General features: G+C 53.5%; 1 protein-coding gene across 1 annotated transcript in view, besides 7 other annotated features; it reads right to left on the bottom strand.

Annotated features, from left to right (window-relative positions):
• Window positions 1–21,816, bottom strand: part of ACO2 (aconitase 2) — a 59,858-nt gene that overhangs the window by 3,190 nt on the left and 34,852 nt on the right. Inside the window, exons 3-14 of the mRNA NM_001098.3 lie at window positions 17,736–17,994; window positions 13,817–13,909; window positions 10,250–10,408; window positions 9,868–10,018; window positions 8,154–8,258; window positions 7,213–7,304; window positions 5,509–5,614; window positions 2,798–2,955; window positions 2,507–2,580; window positions 1,844–1,955; window positions 817–939; window positions 437–592 (exon numbers count right to left, since the gene is read on the bottom strand). Of these exons, the coding sequence (NP_001089.1) occupies window positions 437–592; window positions 817–939; window positions 1,844–1,955; window positions 2,507–2,580; window positions 2,798–2,955; window positions 5,509–5,614; window positions 7,213–7,304; window positions 8,154–8,258; window positions 9,868–10,018; window positions 10,250–10,408; window positions 13,817–13,909; window positions 17,736–17,994 (1,588 nt within the window). The remainder of the gene's footprint in view (window positions 1–436; window positions 593–816; window positions 940–1,843; window positions 1,956–2,506; window positions 2,581–2,797; window positions 2,956–5,508; window positions 5,615–7,212; window positions 7,305–8,153; window positions 8,259–9,867; window positions 10,019–10,249; window positions 10,409–13,816; window positions 13,910–17,735; window positions 17,995–21,816) is intronic.
• Window positions 471–640: an enhancer, noted in NCBI's record as "active region_19118". NCBI's record gives its function as "activates an Ori minimal core promoter by ATAC-STARR-seq in GM12878 lymphoblastoid cells {active_cell/tissue: GM12878}" and the evidence as "EXISTENCE:reporter gene assay evidence [ECO:0000049][PMID:35858748]".
• Window positions 651–700: an enhancer, noted in NCBI's record as "active region_19117". NCBI's record gives its function as "activates an Ori minimal core promoter by ATAC-STARR-seq in GM12878 lymphoblastoid cells {active_cell/tissue: GM12878}" and the evidence as "EXISTENCE:reporter gene assay evidence [ECO:0000049][PMID:35858748]".
• Window positions 10,580–11,186: an enhancer, noted in NCBI's record as "H3K4me1 hESC enhancer chr22:41910603-41911209 (GRCh37/hg19 assembly coordinates)". NCBI's record gives its function as "activates a minimal SCP1, AML or CMV promoter by ChIP-STARR-seq in naive H9 embryonic stem cells {active_cell/tissue: H9 hESC(naive)}" and the evidence as "EXISTENCE:reporter gene assay evidence [ECO:0000049][PMID:30033119]".
• Window positions 11,187–11,793: an enhancer, noted in NCBI's record as "H3K27ac-H3K4me1 hESC enhancer chr22:41909996-41910602 (GRCh37/hg19 assembly coordinates)". NCBI's record gives its function as "activates a minimal SCP1, AML or CMV promoter by ChIP-STARR-seq in naive H9 embryonic stem cells {active_cell/tissue: H9 hESC(naive)}" and the evidence as "EXISTENCE:reporter gene assay evidence [ECO:0000049][PMID:30033119]".
• Window positions 12,401–13,008: an enhancer, noted in NCBI's record as "NANOG-H3K27ac-H3K4me1 hESC enhancer chr22:41908781-41909388 (GRCh37/hg19 assembly coordinates)". NCBI's record gives its function as "activates a minimal SCP1, AML or CMV promoter by ChIP-STARR-seq in primed H9 embryonic stem cells {active_cell/tissue: H9 hESC(primed)}" and the evidence as "EXISTENCE:reporter gene assay evidence [ECO:0000049][PMID:30033119]".
• Window positions 12,646–12,940: an enhancer, noted in NCBI's record as "tiled region #731; HepG2 Activating DNase unmatched - State 14:Gen5', and K562 Activating DNase unmatched - State 5:Enh". NCBI's record gives its function as "activates a minimal TATA promoter and a strong SV40 promoter by Sharpr-MPRA in HepG2 and K562 cells {active_cell/tissue: HepG2 | K562}" and the evidence as "EXISTENCE:reporter gene assay evidence [ECO:0000049][PMID:27701403]".
• Window positions 14,899–15,061: a silencer, noted in NCBI's record as "fragment chr22:41906728-41906890 (GRCh37/hg19 assembly coordinates)". NCBI's record gives its function as "represses an EF-1alpha promoter that drives an FKBP-Casp9 reporter gene in an ReSE screen in HepG2 liver carcinoma cells {active_cell/tissue: HepG2}" and the evidence as "EXISTENCE:reporter gene assay evidence [ECO:0000049][PMID:32094911]".

The raw sequence follows: 21,816 nt of genomic DNA, 5'->3' as shown, positions 1-21,816 counted from the left end.
CGGTGCCAAACACAAGCCATCCCATATCCACGGGTGCCCAACTGTGGGGGCAGGAGTTGTCCATGGCTTCCAGAGCCTGTGTGGACGTGCCAGGTGTGGAGCCTGCTGTGCAATCACACACACTGTCCCAGCCCAGCCTGAGCTGTACTCACCTGCCCACACCCACTGGAGGTGGCTCTGATCAGCTGCTGCTGGATGGCTGAGGGCCCCAGACGGAGGCTGGCCAGATCTAGCTCTGCCCAGTTCGGGGCCACAGAGAAGGGGGACGCTGGACTGCGTTGCGATACCCTCTCTGCTCTGCAGCCAAACCTCCCTTCCATCTCCCACCTGCGTCTTGACTGTGCTCACTTCCTCCAGGTTCATGGCCCTTCCCGATGCTCAGGGGACGGGGGGCCCTGGCAGGGTGGGGCTGTCCTGCCGTCCCCATGCTGCTGACCTTGATGAGGATCTGCAGGTCCTCCAGGTCCTTGCCATCCCACTTGTCAAAAGGCTCCAGGAGCTGCAGGCGCTGGCTGGTGGGGCTCACGTCCACATGCTGCCCGCTGCTGTCCTTGGGTGGGTGCTGGTAGGTGTCCTGCCCTGGGTCAAACTCCTGCAGCAGGGAATGGGGATGCGTGGGGTGCTGAGTCCTCAGTTCCCACAAGGACAGACTCTCAGAAGGCAAGTTTCCTCGGGCCCCACCTCCCCTCCCAGGGAACAGAGCTGCTTCCTTCTCACTAGCAGCGCCCTCCCTGCCTGCACAGGAGGTGCTGTGAGGTTGAGAAGGAAGTGACGTGGCCACACAGCAACCAGCAAGCAGGGGGCGTGGGCGCTCACCCCTTTGGGAAGCTCATCTGCATCCGGAGCCTCCAGCCTGAACTTCTTGCCATCCGTGCCCGTCAGGTAGTCGGTCTCTGGGTTGAACTTGAGGGTTCCCGCAATGGCCAGGGCTGTGACAATCTGAAATGGAGGTGGCCAGTTTGTTGGTCAGCACCAATTGCCACTCCTGTCTCCTGCACCTACCAAAAGCCTAGGCCAAAACTGAGAAAGGAACCCAGGAAATTTCCATGTTCTTCCCAGACCCCTGTGTTCCTCAGAGGCCAGAGCTGCAGGACGATCTTTGGGACCACGGGGCCTTGGGCCTGCAGAGGACTCAGGAAGCCAAGGGCAGTGCGGCCTCTCCCATCCCTGCAGGGCCGGGCCGGCAGTGCTGTTCTCTCTCCTCACAGCTATCCTGGAGGGAGTGGGGGCCCTGGCGCAGAAATGCTGGTATGATGCAAACCTGCTCAGTGCGCAGGACACTAAAAACATGGAAGGAGCCATTCCTTCACCCATTTAGCAAGACATATTTGTAGAACACGCAGATAAACAACCAAGTCAAGAGAGCCTGGCCATGTGCCAGTCACGGCCAGGGCTGAATACCGCCAAGGGCAAGGCTCACTCTGGCCACGGGAACAATGGCAAAGGCCTCGCTTTTGTGGAACTCCTACCTGGGGTTGGAAACTGCATGTGTCCCACGCACTTTCCCAGGTAATCCCGAGGATTACGGGGACACAGAGAAGGTAAGTGACTTGGCCACACTCATACAGCGAGTTAGAGGCAGGGCTGGGATGTGTCCTAGGCAGTGAGTGAGATTCCAAATTCCATGCTCATAAGCACAAACCACTGTATAAATATCTCATAATCCCATGACCCAGGGAGCCCCAGGCAGGAAGCACCAAGCATGCGCCTGAGGCTGGGAAGGCCTGTAGCTCCTGGCTACCACTTGGATGACCCCAGTCCCCATCTCCTTCTGCCTCCTCCTCTGACCCGCCAGGGACCCCCAGAGGCCATCCCAGGCTTGTGCGCAGCTGGGCAGTCTCACCTCTGGGGACGTGACAAAGGCATGGGTCTCGGGGTTTGCGTCGTTGCGGCCCGTGAAGTTCCTGTTGTAGGAGGTGACGATTGTGTTCTTCTCCCCCTTCTTGATGTCCTTCCTGCCAGGTCAGAGGGATCAGGGTTAGGGATATCTGGCCTTGTCACCTGGCCTGTCCCGAGGACAGATAAGCTGGGTTCCTGTGGCGCAGCCCAGCCTAGCTCCTACCGAGGGAAAATGAAGAGGCCCTGCCAGGGTTGCCTCCTCCTGGGGCCACGCGCAGAGCAGAAGGGAACCTCAGGATCACTGGGCCCAGCCTGCAACCACACGTAAGCCAGAGGCAAGGCCTTGGTCAAGGCCTGAGTTTCCTGACCTGGGGCACTGCCTCCTCCCAAACGGCTCCTGCTGTGTCCGTCAGGGTGAGGCCGCGCTGGCTTCCTCCTGCCAGCCCAGGCTTCAGCCAAGTTGCCCCCCAGTGCCTCTGCAGGGCCCTTCCTCACCCAGCCCCTCTTCCCAGGCATGTCTGCCAGAGGCTTCTAATGGGCAAGAGTCCCTGGAGCTAGAGACCTTGGCTGGAGTCTCTTCTCTCCACCCCAATAATTCCCCCTCCAACTTCTGGGGCTCTGTACCCTGTGCACAAGGGGCTGTCTTGTCAAAAGATACGCCTCTTACCTGTCCCACTGGCCAATGCAGGGGCCACAAGCATTGGCCAGGACAATGCCACCCAGATCCCTCAAGATCTGTGCCTGCCAGGGAGAGAGGAAGACAGAATGTCAAGGGTGGGTGAGAGTCTGATGGGAAGGGGTGATGTGGTGGCTGCAGGACGAAGTGCTGTACTGGAACCCCAGGGCAGCCACTGGGACCTGCCCCAGCCCCGGCCCAACAGGCCTCTGGGCTTGTGCCGCCTGGAGGCATTACTCAGCATGGGGTGGGGGAGATGGGCAGGGGGATATGGGCACTCACATAGCCGTCCCGCTCAATGGTGGCGCGGATCTGCTCGGAACCTGGAGTGATGGTGAACTGGGACTTGCACTTGAGGCCATGGGCCAGTGCCTGCTTGGCCACAGCTGCTGAGCGCCCCATATCTTCATAGCTTGAATTGGTGCAGCTACCAATTAGACCTGGTGCATTGTGGGTGGTGGGGTTAAGGGTCAGGAGGAGACAGTGAGCAGAGGTCTCCACCTGACTTCAAATTATCCAGACTTGGCCAAAAGAGTTCACCATCTGGGCTGGGCCAGAGACTTTTTTAACAGAGACCAGTTGCAAGCAACCGAAATATCCAACAATAAAGGACAGGCTAACTCATGACGTGGCGTCATTTGAAGAAAGATGCTGTAGCCATTGGCCATGATGCTGAACACATTAGGACTATGACCCCTTTTACAGCAATATCATGTACACGTGTAGGCACGTCAGAGGGCTCATACGAACAGCCATCCTTGATGGGCTGGGGCTGACAGGAGATGCTAATTTTCTTCTTTTATACTTTCTAGTATTTTCTGGGTTTTAAAGATTGTTTTATAATCAGGGCAATAAGAGTTCTTTTTAAAAAGTCTATAAAACCTGAATAACATCGCACTTTCTGTCTAGACAGTCTCTTTTTGTTGTTGTTGAGATGGGGTCTTGCTCTGTCGCCCAGGCTGGAGTGCAAGGGCACAGTCGAGGCTTGCTCACTGCAGTCTCTAACTCCTGGGGCTCAAGCAACTCCTCCTGCCTCAACTTCCTGAGTAGCTGGGACCCACAGGTGAGTACCACCACACCTGGCTAATTCAATAAATTGTTTTTGTAGAGACAAAGTCTCACCATGTTGCCCAGGCTGCTCTTGAACTCCTGGGATCAAATGATCCTCCTGCCTCAGCCTCTCAAAGTGTTGGGACTGGCCAGGCGCGGTGGCTCACACCTGTAATCCCACAACTTTGAGAGGCCGAGGCAGGCAGATCACTTGAGGTCAGGAGTTCCAGACTAGCCTGGCTAACACAGTGAAACCCCCATCTCTACTAAAAATACAAAAATTAGCCAGGCATGGTGGCGGGCGCCTGTAGTCCCAGCTACTCGGGAGGCTGAGGCAGAACTGCTTGAACCTGGGAGGCGGAGGCTGCAGTGAGCCGAGATTGTGCCACTGCACTCCAGCCTGGGTGACAGAGCAAGACTCTGTCTCAAAAAAAAAAAAAAGGGTTGGGATTACTGGCAAAAGCCCATATAACCAGCCAAGATAGTTTCTTTTATTAATTTAGTAATTTACTTTCTAATTATTAAACCACCAAATATTTTTTTTCTTAAAATTACTTCAATGAATAAGGGCGAACACATTATATTGCCCTTATTTTCGGCCAGACGGTATAGAAATCTCTTTTCACATATTGTCACTTCTCCAGACAACTTTATTTTTTATTTATTTTTCTCATTGGTGATAGCAGCAGTAGGCCCAACACCACCTTCAAAGGTGTCAGTACGATCATGACTCCTGTTTTACAGATGGGGAACCCACACATAGACAGTGAAGTAGTTTGCTCAGGGTCACTCAGCTGTTAGTGGCTGTTAGGTGGCAGAGCCAGGATTCAAGCCCAGGCCATCTGGCTCCAGGCTCCATGCTCTTCACAGCCACACTGTACCCAGCAGCAGCAGATGCCAGTGACTGGCATGCCAGGGCGTCTGCATGTGTAAAGCATGAAAAGTCACATAAAGCAGCATGGGTGATATAAAATGTAAAACGGGAAAATCTATGCACACAATACACAGAAACACAGCACACCTCTCCAAGAGCTCTAAGAGCTTGCTCCTGGCTGGGGGTTGAGATTAGGAGTTTTAAAAATTCTTCTTGATTGTGAATATTCTCTACAATAAACATATTTTTCTTTTCTGCCAAGAAAAAGTAATTTTTCTTTTCTTTCTTTTTTTTTTTTTTTTTTTTTTTTGGAGGCAGGCTCTGTTGCTTGAGTCTGCAGTTTTGAGTCTGCCTTTGTTGCCCAGGCTGGAATGCAGTGGTACCATCTCGGCTCACTGTAGCCTTGACCTCCAGGACTCAAGTGATCCTCCCACCTTAGCCTCCTGAGTAGCTAGGACTATAGGCATGCGCCTCCACACCTGGCCAATTTTTTTTTTTTTTTCTGAGACGGAGCCTCGCTCTGTCACCCAGGCTGGAGTGCAGTGACACAATCTCGGTTCATTGCAACCTCCGCCTCCTGGGTTCAAGCGATTCTCCTGCCTCAGCCTCCCAAGTAGCTGGGGCTACAGGTGCCTGCCACCACCCCTGGCTAATTTTTTGTATTTTTAGTAGAGATGGGGTTTCACCGTGTTAGCCAGGATGGTCTCGATCTCCTGACCTCATGATCCACCCATCTCGGCCTCCCAAAGTGCTGGGATTACAGGTGTGAGCCACTGCCCCTGGCCAATTTTTGCATTTTCTTTTAAGAGACGGGGTTTTTCCATGTTGCCCAGGCTGGTCTTGAACCCCTAGACTCAAGTAATCCACCTGCATTGGCCTCCTGAAATGCTGGGATTTCAAGCATGAGCCACCACTTCTGGCCGAAAAAGTAATTTTTCAATAATAAACCCATTTCAGAAACTGCCCACCTTAGAAAGTGCCACACAGTAGGCATAGGTGATTGTCTACAGCCCTGGGCAGAGCCACTGGCCCTGAGACCTGCTAAACAGATGGGGTGGAAGGTGCTCACCCACTCGGATGTCCAGAGGCCATCCTTCCTTCTCTGCCACCTTGCCCACTTCTGCCACAGGGTGAGCCAGGTCAGGGGTGAAGGGCCCATTGATGTGTGGCTTCAGCTGAAGAAACAAACATGCAAGGAGAAGAAAGAGAGGAGGGAAGAAACCTTGAAGCGGGGACAGCCTCTTTCACTGCCTCACCACGTCCCCACAGAGAGGCCAACGACTTTCTCTTGACTGAAACCTCATCACAGGGAAGAACTGAGCAGTTGGCTCTGCACACACCCGCTCCCGGGCTCCCTCCAGCCCTGCAAGGCTGGGCTCAGCTCTGCAGATGAAGGAACTGAAGCTCAGAAGTGACATGCTGTGCTTGAAGTCACATAGCTAGGAGACAGCAGAGGCATGGAATGGATCAAGGCTGTCAGCTTCCTAAGTTCATTATCTCCCATTCGATGTTGCTTTTGGAATCTTTTTTTTTTTTTTGAGATGGAGTCTCGCTCTGCTGCCCAGGCTGGAGTGCAGTGGCACGATCTTGGCTCACGGCAGCCTCCGCCTCTCGGGTTCACACCATTCTTCTGCCTCAGCCTCCCGAGTAGCTGGGACTACAGGCGCCCGCCACCACGTCTGGCTAATTTTTTTGTATTTTTTTAGTAGAGACGGGGTTTCATCACATTAGCCAGGATGGTCTCAATCTCCTGACCTCATGATCTGCCCGCCTCGGCCTCCCAAAGTGCTGGGATTACAGGTGTCAGCCACCATGCCCGGCCGCTTTTGGAATCATGACAAAAATGGACTTAAGGCCAGACGCTTTACATATCATAATCATCAGTAAATGCGAGGCACTCAGCTATGTGCGCAGCATGCAGTAAACCTCCGTCAGTGTTAGTTACATGAATTCATTCAATCCTCACGACTGCTGTAGGTTCCACACGTGATGGAGCAAGGGGCCTACAGAGGCTAAGTGCGTGACCAAGGCCACACAACTTAAGTGGCAGAGCCGAGGTGTGAACTCCTGCAGACGGGATCCTCTAGCCTGCCCTTCCTCTGGCTCTGCAAACACCTGCTCTGATCTGTGCGTCTCAGGGTGCCTAACCCTGCTGGGATTTGCCCTCTGAACTCAGATAACAAAAACCCTTCAGGGTGAAACCTTGGCTTCTCCTAAAGCTGAGCTGGTGGCAAACTGACATCCACTTCTGGTTCAGCAGCCAGAGCTACCTCTGCTCTCCCCGTGGCTGTGTCTCCCCCCTCCCCACCCACTGCTCCAGGCTGCTTCAGGAAGCAGTTTGCAGGAACACTGGGGACCCAGGGGCCCACGAGTCACCCTGAGGTTTTTCTTGTTTTGTTTTTGAGACAGTGTCGCTCTGTCGCCCAGGCTGGAGTGCAGTGGTGCGATCTCGGCTGACTGCAACCTCTGCGTCCCGGGTTCAAGCGATTATCTTGCCTCAGCCTCCTGAATAGCTGGGATTATAGGCACATGGCACTATGCCGAGCTAATTTTTGTATTTTTTTTTTTTTTTTTAGTAGAGACGGGGTTTCACTATGTTGGACAGGCTGGTCTTGAACTGCTGACCTCAACTGACCCACCTGCCTTGGCCTCCCAAAGTGCTGGGATTACAGCTGTGAGCCACCACCCGGCCCTCAGTGAGTATTTAGGCAGGACCCGCCCTGCTCCCCACTACTCTCAGAAACTTCTTGAACCCAGTTAATTGTCTCCTCACCTCACTGAGGTTAATTTCAATTAGTTGGTCATAATGGCAGCCAGGGTCAGGCACCAAGTGATCCTTGAATTCATCAGCTAGATTGGCAATGTCTGAAATCAACAAGGGACGGGGATGGAGCACGTGAAACATAAACTGTTCTTGAGAGTTCACTCACCACCCACCTGAGCACCTGCCAAACACCAGGCCCACCCTGGGCACTGACTAGGCCAATGAAGAAACCAAGGCTGCTGTCTCTGCCCTTACAGAGCTCACACCCTAGTGCAGGAGCTGTCAGGGACACGGAGACACAGAGGAGGAGCGCCAGCTAAGGTTCAGAGCCGGGGAGGGTGTCCTGGAAGTGAAGAGCTGGGTTTTGAAGAAGCAGTCACTCAATAAGGAAAGGGAGGAGCCTTCCAAGGATTCCACGTGCTTACGGCTCTCCCCATGGCCCCTGGTCTCTGGCTCCTCGTTCACTCCCACAACGCACCACCCTTCACAGGTGCCAATGCCCTCTGAGCTCCAAAGAAGCCAGGCTAGAGCCTCAGGGAAGTTGTCAGGGGAGGCTGGGAAAGTGGTTCTCCTTCCAAATGTTCCCCTGCTAGGTCAGGAATTATCAACAGAAGCGATCCATGTCATTTCCGGAGTTTCCTGTAGGGGGCAGCAGGGACCAGGCCGAGAAGGGCGGGCATTCAGCCACCTTCCAGGGAAAATGAAATGCCCATCCTGAGGTGGGGCTATCTTGAACTCAGATGCCAGGCCCTTTGAGAAGCTGGAGAGAGCTCCAGACAATCTACTCAGAAACATATTGCACCTCTTCAGGGCTTTCTCAGAGCCTCGGACGCCTGTCTGGAGACAATGGGTTAAGAACCCCTGCCCTACAGGGAAAGGCATAGCTCTGTCTTGGGGAGGAGCGGGCATGTGACTGTTCCACCCACACGGGCCTGCCCCTGCCAGCTCACCTTCCCGGCCGGTCTTGCTCAGGTACTTCTTCATCCTGTGGTTGTAAGGGAACACGGAAGTGGTGGCCCCAATTTCTGCACCCATGTTGCAGATTGTCGCCATGCCTGTGGAGCAACAGAGCCCCGGGCATTGGCTGGTGGCCGGGCCAGGGTCCCACACACCTGCTACGCGGCCACCTGCATCTTCACACCAGGGAGCTGCATTGCTTCTCCTCCCACTCAGAGAGATGTGGTGACAGCGGGCCGACTCATCCCTTGAGGCCCTGGGTAAAAACCTGGGCCGGTGAGGGGAGGCCATGGGGATCAGAGCTCAGGGCCCCAGCTCAGGGTGGCTGCTGGGTAGAATGAAGAGGACTCAGGTGAAGATTCAGCCCCCACACACTGAGCTGCGAGCTTGGGGCCTGACTGTCGCCCAAGAGATTGAACAGGCACCACGTACTGTAGGCTGACCTGACCAGACACTGCCCAGTTGCTATTCTTTTTGGCAGGGGAGGAACTGGCTCAGAGAGATTCAAGGTCATGCCATAAAGCACATAAAGGTAGATGCTGACATTCGGATCTTGGTCTGTCTGCCTGGTGGCCTGCCCTCCTTCAGCCATACCATGGTGGAGACACTTTTCTGTGTCTCAAGTTTTCCAGTGATGGAGGCCGAGGTGGGTGGATCACCTGAGGTCAGGAGTTTGAGACCAGCCTGGCCAACATGGTGAAAACCCATCTCTACTAAAAAAAAATACAAAAAAAATTAGCCAGGCATCATGGTGCACACCTGTAATCCCAGCTACTCAGGAGGCTGAGACCGGAGAATTGCTTGAACCCAGGAGGCGGAGGTTGTAGTGAGCCGAGATTGCACCACTGCATTCCAGCCTGGGCGACAGAGTTAGACTCTGTCTCAAAAAACAAGAACAAAAACAAAAACTGAAATGATACACACTGTCTGGACCACAAAGCGTCACAGAACTGGTGGGGCTCACAGGTACTGCAGCTGCTACCAGGCCACCTGCCTCAGGAGCCACTAGGACGGAGGTATGGGCCTGTTACCAACGTCCTGACTGAGCAGTCCCGTGGCAGGAGTGAGCCCCCATCACTGCAGGGGAACCAGAGTTCTGCAGGGCTGCCAGGGAGCCCAGGCAGGCACCTGGGAAGTCTAGACTGTTACAAATCTCCCTGGATTTCTGAGGACCAGGCATCCAGGCCAGGTCACCAGGAGTGACAGGCAGGGAGCAGCTGGCTCCTACCTGGTCTTGGAGGCGGACAGGCACCGATCTCTAATCCAAGGGAAGTGAGTGAGGCTCGAACTTCAGCGAAGGGAGGATGTGGGCCTGCAGCTGCTTCATGAATGAAGCCCTGGCTCTGCCCATTCCCACCACTGCCTCTGTCCTCTCTGGATTCGTCTAGATCACCCAAGGTGGCCTAGTGCTATGGCCTGGGCCCAGCAGCAGAAGCTGACTTGGCTCCTAACCGTGTGTGGCCACACAGTTAGGAAGTCACCGGCAGCCTCGACAGGTATCTCAATCTCTTCATCTGTTTAATGAGGATGTGGACTAGACAATCTCTAATGCTGTCTCCAATTTTCCTTCTACCTCTGTCTATCCCAAGTCCCCAAATGGAACAGACAGATTCTCAAGTGAAGGCCATTCACCGCTTCTACTCCCAACTGGAGACCCATCAGGCCCAGCACAGGGTAGGGGCCACGTCGCCTGGCCGCCTTCCTCACCAGTGCAGGAGATGGAGTCTACACCAGGCCCGTGGTATTCCACGATTGCACCTGTGCCACCTTTCACCGTGAGGATGCCTGCCACCTTCAGGATCACATCTTTGGGTGAGGACCAACCGGAGAGAGAGCCCGTCAGCTTCACGCCAATCACCTGGACAGGAGGGGGCGAGGCGGCTGTGAGAGGCCGTGTGTGCCTGTGCCAGCCACGAAGTCAGGATGGCCCTGCTGCCATTCACATTGCTGCTTATTGGTCTCTACCTCCCTCCCAGAAGATTCGAGTCTAACTTGTTCCCTTTTCCCTCCTGGGTCCCACCGTCTCCCGTTCATCCCCACCAACCACCACCCCACAGCCAGCCCAGAATGAGTCCCTCCCCACCCTCACCTTGGGGCACTTCAGCTCCCAGGGGATCCCAGCCATGACATCCACAGCATCGGCACCCCCAACTCCAATGCAGATGCCCCCAAGGCCGCCACCATTGGGGGTGTGGGAGTCAGTGCCAATCAGAAGAACACCAGGGTACGCATAGTTTTCCAGAATAATCTGAAAAATAATCCAAGATGTTATATTTAGAAGCCCTCAGCCGAGAATACCAAAAAATGGCCCCACTGACCCGGGGCCTCCCAACCACGTCCAGCCACTCTCCCAGGATGGAACTGGTAGGAGCAGCCCCATTTAATCCAGGCCGTCTCCAGGGTGGCCAAGAAGAGCCAGAGCCTTGGGAGACAGGTGGCCTGGGCTCTTGAATAGCTCTGATATTTCCTGCTATATGTCTTGGGCCTTTGAATGCTGCCCCATGCCTCAGTTTCCTCATTTGTAGCACAGTAACCAAACACCCATACCACCATGACCCCAGGATGTGACAAGAACCAGAGAAACTGTCCTGTGATGGGCCCAGGCCCGGCCTCATCCTGGGTGTGGAGCATCCCCACCTGGCTTCTCATCGGGGTTGGTGGTTCTTCCAGGAGCTGGCTCCAGCCCCACAAGGCCCCTGAGGAAGAAGTCCTGGGAGGCCCCAGTGGGTACACAAAGCTATGAACTTTTCCTCAACTGCAAAGAATAGGTGATGCCTCGTCCACTTCAGCATCTGGAGGTGGCTCTGAGAACCCATGTGACTTGCTCAAGGCGCGATGCCACCCTGCCTCATCACCTGTCCCATTTCACAGTACTCCCTTCACTGAGGCGCTCCTCCCAGCCGTGGGGAGCACTTCCCCCAAAACATTTGGTAAGAAAGGCAGCAACACCTCAACACCCAAGTGCTCAACACCTTGGGTGCTGTATAGGCTCAACACCCAAGTGTGGCCCAGGCACCAGGCACCTCTGAGGCACTGGCCCCCTGAAGCTGCAGGACACTGCTTGGCAAGCCCTGAGCCAGGCGTCCTGTATCGGGGGGTCTGAGGTCTGGCCCCACCATCTACTAGTTGTTGTGGGACCATGGACAAGTCACTTCTCTCGGAGCTCAGTTTCCCTATCAAGAAATAGCTAACAATCGTGCTCACATCATTGGTTCACTGATGACTGGATGAGATCCTGTCCATGAGGCACAGAATAGTGCCTGCGGGAAGCAACATTTTTATTTATTGTTTTGCAGCAAGAGCCTTCACCTGAGGTTCTGCCGCTCATCAGTCAGATGGAGTTAGTGCCCCACCCGGGGATGTGGGGAAGAACACATGAGAGGTGTGACAGGCTCTGTGAACTCTCAGGACCCACCAGTGCTCCCAGAAATCTTACAGAAACCCCAGGGCCTCTGCCTCAGGACAAGCATCTGCCTAGCAGACTCTAAGGTCCAAAGGTCTCATCTCTTGGGGATGCAGAGGGAAGACCTGGCTGCGAAGAACTGGCCAATGCTGCCACGTACAAGGATTTAAGACTAGTGCATCCCTAAAGAGCCTCAAGCTTGTAAAAGTTGGATCCACGAAGGCTGGGCACACAGAATTCGGGGTGGTCTACACGGTGTAGACACTTGTGGTCCACACGGTGTAGACACTTGTGGTCCACATCCAGGGGGAGAGGTCAGGCAGACATGAGGACTGCAGAAGATGTCACGATGACGCTGGCCGTGACAGTGAGCTCCCCGGTCTGTGGGTGTGGCTGGACAGATGGGGGTGAGGGCTGGGAAGAAGGACTAATGCCTAGAACTACACCTGGAAATTCAGCCATCCATCCACACAACACACACATACATTAAGGACCTGCTCTGTACTGACCTGGTCCCAAACCCAGAGCTAGAGAGGAATAAATAAGCCACAGTCCCTGTCCCCACAGAGCACATGATCCAGTGCAGAAAGCACTTGGCAGATGCTGGAACATAATGTGAAGAGATCCCACAGAGGATCCACTGGAAGCCACTGTGCCAGGCACGGGGAGGGCCGGGGAGGCTCCACAGAGGAACCAGAAAGCTGTGATGTGGAGGAAGGTCTGCGGGCCAAGTGGGGCCAGGGCACTTCCCAGAGGGAAAGGGGTTCAGGTTTGGGTTGGACCTAATGGACTGAGGCTGCTGAAGACGTGACATCAAGGCGGGAAGAAAGTAAAGCTGCAAAGTACTCCCATGGCCCCTGGGCATTTTCTTTTTAAAGAAACAAACACACGAGCTGCTGTATGCTTAGCAGCTAGCCGGTGGCAGATGTGAGCTGCCATCACTCACGGCTCCAAACTTTGGCCCAGGAGCTGCCATAAAGGCCTGGGCATTTGTACTGAGGTAGAAAGGGAGACACCTGCATTGCAGTGCCCTTTGTAACAGAAGGCCAAGACTGGGTCCACCTGACTCCCTAACCCTGCTGCAGAGAGGGGCTTTCTAGTCCCCACAGGCCGCTGCAAACGGCCATTCCACGCAGCCCCTTCCTGGCAAGAGTGATGGTTGGGCAGGGCAGAGGAGTGATCCCCTGCTGGCTCTGGTTTCAGAGCGGGGCGGTGCTGGGAGCCCATGCGGCGTCAGATTACAGCCTGACTCAGCACATCCTGAGGAGGCCAGGACAGTGAGGTCTGGGATGGAGGTGGGGGGAAGGGCCACCTTGCAAAGGTGCGAAGAGGCAGGTTTCATACATACAGGGTGGATGTAAATGGACACAAACTAGGTCAGTGGTCCCTAACAGTGCCCTTGGAAGAAAGGGAAGCACCCACCTCCCCAGGATATACACGTTCACACTTGCACTTCCAGAGACAAAACTGTCCAACTGTCCACCAAAAGAAGATCCATCCTTGGGACACCTCAGAGGAGCCCCCGGCTGACATGGCCACATGACCTATGGTACCTTCACCCTACAGAACACCATGAAGGAGCCAAAAAGAAATCCGAGGAGCGCCACGTGCAGAAGCAGAAAGAGCTCTGGGGGCGAGGGAGGCGGCAGAGCAGCACGGTGGCATGGGGCACTCGCTCCAGACCAGCCCTCCTGCCCACAGGCCTGGCTCCACAGTAAGCCAGCTAGGTGTCCCTGGGCAAGAAGGTTAACATCTCTGTGCCTCAGCTGCCTCCTCTGTAGGGTGTGGATAGTAAAAGCACCTACCTCACAGGGCATGGCAAATATCTTTCAAGTGCTCAGCCTAGTACCTGAGACACAGTATGGGCTCATCAAATGTCAGTGATGCATGCCACAAGGGGTGACACTTGTGAAAAAAAACAAAATAATACCATGTTCTGTATGAGAGTTTATGGGAATAGAGATGCTTGAGTACACACCCAGAAGACAATGTGGAAAGAAACATGTCGCACTTAAAATGCTGGTTACCTGGGTGGTTAGGAGGTATTATTTTAACTTCTCACCCAGAAAATGAGCACGTATAATGACATAATGAAAATCAGTTTCAAAACAAAGGAGGAAGAGCATAAGAGCTGATGGATATGTCATCCAGTTCCCCTCAGCCCCCCTGGGCCTCAAACCCCCTCCCCCCATAGGCCTGGAACATACTTCTCTGGCTTGGGCCCTTGGGACGGCAGACTGAGCCCAGCTTTACCTGGTGAATGATTCCAGATCCAGGCTTCCAGAAGCCCACGCCATATTTGGCACCTGCAGTTGCCAGGAAATTATAAACTTCCTGGTTGATGTCCTATTGAGACAAATCAATAATTGGGCGTTAGCAACATGGTTTGTGTCCAGGTGACCCTCACCAAGCCCTCCCCACCCCATCAGCCTCCCTTCTGACTCTGAAATACTGGCACTGGAGACAGGCCCTCTCTTAGAGACCTTCTAAAAATAATTCCAAAGAGCTTGGATGTTGGCCCAGTCTCCACTAGCAGTGTCAGAGAGAAGGACAGGGGAGCAGAGATGGAGCCCCAGTTCTGTGACACCTGGCCAGGGTGGTGGGTCTGGAACAAGTCCCTGCCCTGGTCTGGGTCTCAGTTTCCTTATCTGGAGAAGGGACTGGTCTAAATAATTGCCAAGAGTGCCTGTGGCACTCAAGTCCCCAGATGAGGCCAGCAGTGCAGAGGCAGGCCCTGGCCTAGGCGCAGTGGCTGGGTGCAGTGGCTCACGCCTGTAATCCCAACACTTTGGGAGGCTGAGGCAGGCAGATCACTTGAGGTCAGGAGTTCAAGACCAGCCTGGCCAACATGGCGAAACCCTGTCTCTACTAAAAATACAAAAATTAGCCAGGCATGGTAGTGCACACCTGTAATTCCAGTTACTCGGGAGGCTGAGGCACAAGAATTGGTTGAACCTGGGAGACAAGGATGCAATGAGCCGAGATCGTGCCACTGCACTCCAGCCTACAAGACAGAGCGAGACTGTCTCAAAAAATAAAAATAAGAATAAAATAAATAAAAATTAGCTGTGCACCTGCGGTCCCAGCTACTTGCAGGCCGAGGCAGGAAGATCACTTGAGCCCAGGAGTTCAAGGCTGCAATGAGCCGAGATCGCACCACTACACTCCAGCCTGAGTGACAGGGCAAGACCCTGCCTCAAAACAAAACAAAAACCCCAGAGGCTTTTTTTGAAATAACTTGCTGGAGATCCCAGGCTTAGACGACACCTGAGAGAGCCCCCTGGACTGGTGTCTGACTGTCGGAAGTGCTGAATTCTTGGTAATGTGTTTGATGGGCCCAAATGGAAGGCTGTCGAAGGGACCACTGTTCTGAAAAGGAGGTTTCAGCCAAACGAAATGATGACACGGGCTGTAGCCATCCTGCCTATAATCTGAAGGAAGCTTCCTTGAGGGACAGGGAAGGGCCCACTGCACAGCAGATGTGAGGCCAGGGTTTATCTGGAAGACATGGGAGGTCCCTGTGTGGGGTCAGTGAGACTGACCCCAGTAACAAAACGGTGGGATTCTAGTGGACTCTACTGAGTCTCAAAGGAGGAACTAGGAAATGGGACCTGCCAGCCTCCGGCATGGGAGAGCGATGCTTCAGAGAAGGGACCTCAGCCAGTGCCCTCGGACCCTTGATGAGATACACTCAAACCACACACCCCTTCACTGAAACTCCAGACCAGTGTGTGCCCTCTGAAGGCCCACTGGGTTCCCCCAGGTAAGAGAATGGCAAAGAACGTGGGTTTCCAGAGCAGTCTCTTTCCAATTAATAATTAATACATCAGCTTTTTCATTTACAAATCGGTCACTTATGAAATTGGTATCCAGGACAGGAGGCTGTGGTCGTGTCTGGGCGCATGTGACTACACGTCTGTGTTAAGTGTGAGGAAGGGGTGTGGGAGGACCCCAGACTGGTGCCAGAGTCTCGGCCTGGACTCAGCCTGGATCCATCTCTGGTTCTGTGACCCTAGACAGGTCACTGCCTCTGAGCCCTAGCCAGAGGGACACTTTACAAATACACGTAATAATGACCACATTCTAGGCCGGGCGTGGTGGCTCACACCTATAATCCCAGCACTTTGGGAGGCCGAGGTGGGTGGATCACCTGAGGTCAGGAGTTTGAAACCAGCCTGGCCAACGTGGTGAAACCCTGTCTCTAGTAAAAATACAAAAATTAGCCAGGTATGGTGGTGGGTGCCTGTAATCCCAGCTACTCGGGAGGCTGAGGCATGAGAATCGCTTGAACCCAGGAGGCGGAGGTTGCAGTGAGCCGAGATTGCAGTGAGCCGAGATTGTGTGTCACTGCACTCCAGCCTGGGGGATAGAGCAAGACTCTGTCTCAAAAAAAAAAAAAAAAAAAAGACCATATTCTTTCTCCGCTTAAACTGTTCTAGGACTCTGAGGATGGTGACCATAGCGTTCCCACAGCCCTCGCGTTCCTGGCTGCCCCTGCCCACCTCATACCACCCGCTCTTCCAAACACAGAGAACTCCAGCAGTACAGGCCCCCTCTCACTTCCACAAAAGCATCAAGTTTCTTCCTGGCTCAGGGTCTTTGCAAATGCTGTTCTTTCTAGCATGTTCTTCCTCCAGTCAATGCAACTCATATGTTCAGTCCTCAGGTTATCTGTCACATCCTCAAAGAAGCTCTCTCTTTCCCCCAGCATCTAAATTAGACCTCTTTTTTATACTGACCAAGTCCCGCACTTTCCCTTCCTAACACATACCCAGATCTGCAGTTACCTACCTCGGCCATTGTTTAGTGTCCACACCCACAAGCAGATCCCTGAAGGCAGGGCCCCTGCCTGACTTGTTCACACTGAACCTCAGTACCTAGCCCAGTGCCTGGCACATAAAGAATGTTCAATTTGTTGAACGCATGAGGGAATGAGCTCTGAATGCTATGAGTGTGCATCTCATCTCCAGAAGATTCACTCTGAGCCCATAAAGCAAGCAGAAAGCCAGCCCCAGAAGGTAGCAGCCCTGTTGTGGGCAGCTGTCCCCAGGGCTGCAGAGGACCCACGTTCCCGGCCATGTGCAGTTCCCGGCACTGTGGGAGCTCCTGTAACATTATTACCCCCACCAGTGTTGTTGCTAATGTGGAAACCGCCGGCCGGCAGGCAGGACTGTCCTTTCAGCTGAGGGGAAAGAGCCACTGTGGAGCCAGGATACCACCAGGGGGCCAGGGTGGAAGAGAGGGTCTGAGTGAGAGCGCCGCCCCGAGTGTTTCCCATGGGGCTGGGAGGCTTTGAGCCATGCTGACCCTGGGAGCTGGAGCACTTTCAATCACATGCCCACAGGCCGCAGCCCTGCCAGCATTCAGCTCCTGCCAACGCCCCTCCCCGTGAGGGGGACCCACTCCCACTGCAGGGGCTGGAGAGTGGGGAGGCCCAGAGCTGGGAGAGAGAGGCCCGCTGTTGCCAAGAGCAGGCTGACACAAAGGTCCCACAAGCCGAGCCTGGGAGAAGGAGCAGGAACTCGATTTCATAGAAGGGTGGGGGAAAAGCCTTCAGCATGGCATACAGCCACCCCCATGTAGTTAAGCAAAACTCACAGAAGAATGGCCCCCAAAGGAGGCTCCTCAGTGACAGAGCACCAGAGTGGGAGCCAGGATCAGCATTGAGCCCTAATCGTGCCCTCATGTAGTTACAGAACTCAAGTATGATGCCACTGCCGCCTCAAATTTACAAATAGTGACCCTAGCACGCCTACCTCCCGGAGAGGGTCCTTGGAGGGTCAGAGGAGAGCGGGAGTGGGTGCAAATGGGATGCTGGCAAACTATGCTAAGATGCACCCCTCACTGCTCAGGCAGACAGGGAGGCCTGCATGGCCCCTTCCAGAGCACCTGGCAGGATCCACATCATCCTCCAACAGGACAGAAAAAGGACCTGCAGTGTGGTAAGGTCAAGGATGATTTTTTCTTTCTTTAGGCTTCCTCTGTATTTTTTAACATAATGAGCAAGTGCTATTTTTAGAAAGAGAAACAAGTAAAATCAAGTTTTAAAAGCAGACCAATCCAAAGAGGTGTGAGAATTTGGAGGCAATGCCCTGGTTTGCTCCAGTGTGAGGGTGAGGCCTCTCGCCCAGTCTTGCCCACTTGCCCACCCCCAAAGCCACCTTCTGCTCACCTTGGCCCGGCGCAGGTCTTTCTCGCCCCCAACCTGGGCTTCAATCAGATGGTCACAGTGGATGGTGGATGGCACAGCCACCTTGGACAGCCCGCTGCTGATGAACTGGAGCATGGCCATCTGGGCCGTCGCATCCTGCATGGCCACACGGTCCGGCCGCAGCCGCAGGTACGACTTGCCTCGCTCAATTTCCTGGCTGGCGGGGTCATCCAGGTGTCCATACACAATCTTCTCCGAGAGTGTCAGCGGCCGGTTCAGTCTGTGGGGAGAAGAGCAGAAGGGTGGCCTGGTGCTAGCTGCACGGCCTCCTCCCGCCCTGCCTCTCCCTCTCAGTCCATGTGGCAACCTCAACAGTGGCCAGGGACAGGGAGTCTGAACTCAGGACCTCAACGTTCCACTTGGGTGGGGACTGCTGGGTCCTGTTCACTGCACCACCTCCTCACCTCCTGCAGCACCTGGCACTTGTTAGGTGCTCCACAATTACTTGATGAGTAAGTGAATGACAACATCACAAGAGGGCAGCGCTGGTTCTTTTCAAAGGATCCTGGCTTTCCCAGCATCGTAATTCCTACTAAGTCCCCGCAACATGCATATCTCATCATTCCTGCCATTTAACAACAACAACAACCAAGAAAGCCATTTAACAACAACCAAGAAACAGGCTCAGGAGAGTGACCAAGTTCACAGCTAGATTTCGCTACTTCCCTCTGTGCCCTCAGCCCCACTAAGGCACAGGGAATCAGGACCAGCATCCCCTTCACCTGTCCACCCTGTCCGCCATCTACAACCCTCCACACCTCAGGCCTGGGATGCCTGGCTACCCAACTATGACACTAAGACTTTGCCCATTAGCTCCAGACATAGACAGGAGTATCTGTCAGTTTTCAAGAACAGAGACCGGGTCACTGCCACTGGCCTCTCACAGCTCCTCCTCCTCCTAGACCCCATTTCCCCGGAGGCCCCACCCCTCCCTTCCTCATCAGAGCCAAAATGGCAGTCCAAACCTGCCCTGGGGTCCGGCCCTGTCAGGACTCAACCGTCTTCTCCCCACAAGCCTCCCAGCCATCTAGACTGAGCTCTGCGCGGGTCCACTCTCCCTGCCAGGCTCAACGTTCCGGCTGACTCCCGGCTGCACCCACACAACAGAGCAAAGGGGCTGTTGTGGCCGCCCTGCCTGCCACAACAGCCCCTTTCAGACCTCACGCTCTGCCCCCCAGAATTCTCAAAGCTTAGGCCAAGCTTGAGACTTCCTTCCTAAGGAGGAGCAGAGTTCAACCCACACCTGACAGGCTCTGTCCTATTGTTTGAGGCCAAGAAAAAAGTTTCAGACTGGGAGTCAGAAGCTCTGAGTTTAACCCTGACCTGGGGGCCTGGTGTGGTGGCTCACGCCTGTAATCCTAGCATTTTGGGAGACCAAAGCAGGAGGATCGCTTGAGGCCAGTTCAAGATCAGCCTGGACAACAGAGTGAGACCTTGTCTCTATAAAAAACAGAATGAGGCCGGGTGCGGTGGCTCATGCCTGTAATCTCAGCACTTTGGGAGGCCGAGACAGGCGGATCATGAGGTCAGGAGATGGAGACCATCCTGGCTAACATGGTGAAACACTGTCTCTACTAAAAATACAAAAAAATTAGCCAGGCGTGGTGGCGGGCGCCTGTAGTCCCAGCTACTCGGGAGGCTGAGGCAGGAGAATGGCGTGAACCCGGGAGGCGGAGCTTGCAGTGAGCTGAGATAGCGCCACTGCACTCCAGCCTGGGCAATAGAGCAAGACTCTATCTCAAAAAAAAAAAAAGAATGAGCCAGACAGGGTGATGCGTGCCTGTAGTCCCAACTACGCAGGAGGCTGAGGCGGGAGGATCACTTAAGCCCAGGAGATCAAGGCTGCAGTGAGCCCTGATCACATCACTGCACTCCAGCTTGAGCAACAGAGTGACATGCTGTCTCTAATAAAAACAAACAAACAAAAAAAAAACAAAAAAGCCCAAACCTGACCTATTACTGAAACCACTATTTAACAAGATAAGCAACTGCTCTCCTCAGCTCAGCCAGCCCATCTCTAAATACCAGGGCTTGCACTGGGATGAGATAACAGCTTCCACTTCTATAGCCTTTCATTTTTAAACAGCTTTAAACAGAGGTATAATTGGCATACAATAAACTGCATATTTAAGGTACACAATTTGCTAAGTTTTGACACTGTATACACCTGTGAAACCAGCACCACAATCAAGATACTGACCATCTCTCCTTCAAGTTTCCCCACCCCTTGGTTAACTCCCTCCCGCCCCTTTGCCACTACTGATTGGCTTTCTGTCACTAGAGACCAGCGTTATCGTAGCATTTACTTTCAGCTCAGCATTATCTTAAGTATTTTCATGTATAAAACTCATTTTATCCTCACAGCACAGATGAGGAAGCTGCAGCACAGAGGGACAGAGTAGCTTTGCTCCAGACCACGAAGCCAGTGAGGGGTACAGCTGGACCACGAAGAGGCAGCAGTGTGGCCCTACGGCTGTGCTCCTGACGCTAATCTACCCGGTCTCTCCACACCTGGAATCTGGAATAGGGCCAGCACATGGTGAATGTTCCATTTTCATTATTATTATTATTATTATTATTATTGTTATTATTTTGAGACAGGGTCTTGCTCTGTCACCCAGGCTGGAGTGTAGTGGCACAATTGTAGCTCACTGCAGCCTCAACCTTTCAGGCTCAAGCGATCCTCCCACCTCAGCCTCTGAGTAACTGGGATTATAGGCACGCACCACCACATTGGCTAATTTTATTTATTTATTTATTTTATTTTTGTAGAAATGGGTTTTCACTGTATTGACCAGGCTGGTCTTGAACTCCTAGGCTCACATGATCTTCCCGAAGAGCTGGGATTACAGGTGTGAGCCACCTCATCCTTTCTCAGTTATCATTACTGTTATCATCAATATGCATAGTGAGATGGCAGAGAAACTTCCTTCTGCAAGCTGGGTTCCAGTCCCTCACCCCCAAGTTTACCCAACCTCTTCAAAGTAAGAGTTCCCAGCTGGGTGTGGTGGCTCACGATTGTCATCCTAGCACTTTAGGAGGCCGAGGCAGACAGATCACTTGAGTCCAGGCGTTTTGAGACTAGCCTGGGCAACTCCACCTGTACAAAAAACATAAAAAGAAGCCAGGCATGGTGGCATGTGCCTATAGTCCCAGATACTGGGAAGGCTGAGGTGGGAGGATGGATTGACCCCAGAAGGTCAAGGCTGCAGTAAGCCATGATCGAACCACTGCACTCCAGCCTGGGTAACAGAGCAAGACCCTACCTCAAAAAAAAAAAAAAAAAAAAAAAAAAAAAAGTCCCTAAGGTGCTGGATCTGCTGGCAACAGCAGACCAACTGGCAACTCTGAGCATCTCTATGAATAAAAACAGCACTAGCCTGAGGTACAGCCTGCGCCGATTGCGGCAGCACCGCCAAGGCTGGTGTACGGGCAATGACTCACAGCCCCTCCTTCTGGGCCCCGAGGGAGACAAAAAATAGCACATGGGCTTAAAAACCCAAGACCTTGGAAGCAAATGATTGAAGCTATATAAAAAAGCTCAGCAATGCTGAAGCTTTAGGATGGGTTCATCATTGAATGTCCCTGAGGATTAACTGAGGATGACAAAATGGGTCTTCATATCCATCTGTCCCTCTGCTCTCCAGATGACACAGATCCAGTTCTCAAGAACAGACTTAGACCCCTTCTGTTGGAGACACAAGGTGGAAGAGAAGTCGCCCAGCAAGTCCCCTGGCCTTCTAAAAAATTCTTAGAATAGAACGCTTTATTTTTATTTTTTGAGCCAGAGTCTCTTCCTCTGTCACCAGAGACACCACTCTGGCTGGAGTGCTGTGGTGTGGTCTCAGCTCACTGCAACATCCACCTCCTGGGTTCAAGCGGCTCTCCTGCCTCAGCCTCCCGAGTGGCCGGGATTACAGGCGCTCGCCACCATGCCTGACTAATTTTTTTGTATTTTTAGTAGACACAGTGTTTCACCATGTTGGCCAGGCTGGTCTCAAACTCCTGGCCTTAAGTGATCCGCCTGCCTCGGCCTCCCAAA

The sequence above is a fragment of the Homo sapiens genome, chromosome 22, assembly GCF_000001405.40.
Source record: "Homo sapiens chromosome 22, GRCh38.p14 Primary Assembly".
NCBI lineage: Eukaryota > Metazoa > Chordata > Mammalia > Primates > Hominidae > Homo > Homo sapiens.
The sequence above is the reverse complement of the archived record's forward strand: the minus strand, read 5'-3'. Positions and strand labels throughout refer to the sequence as shown.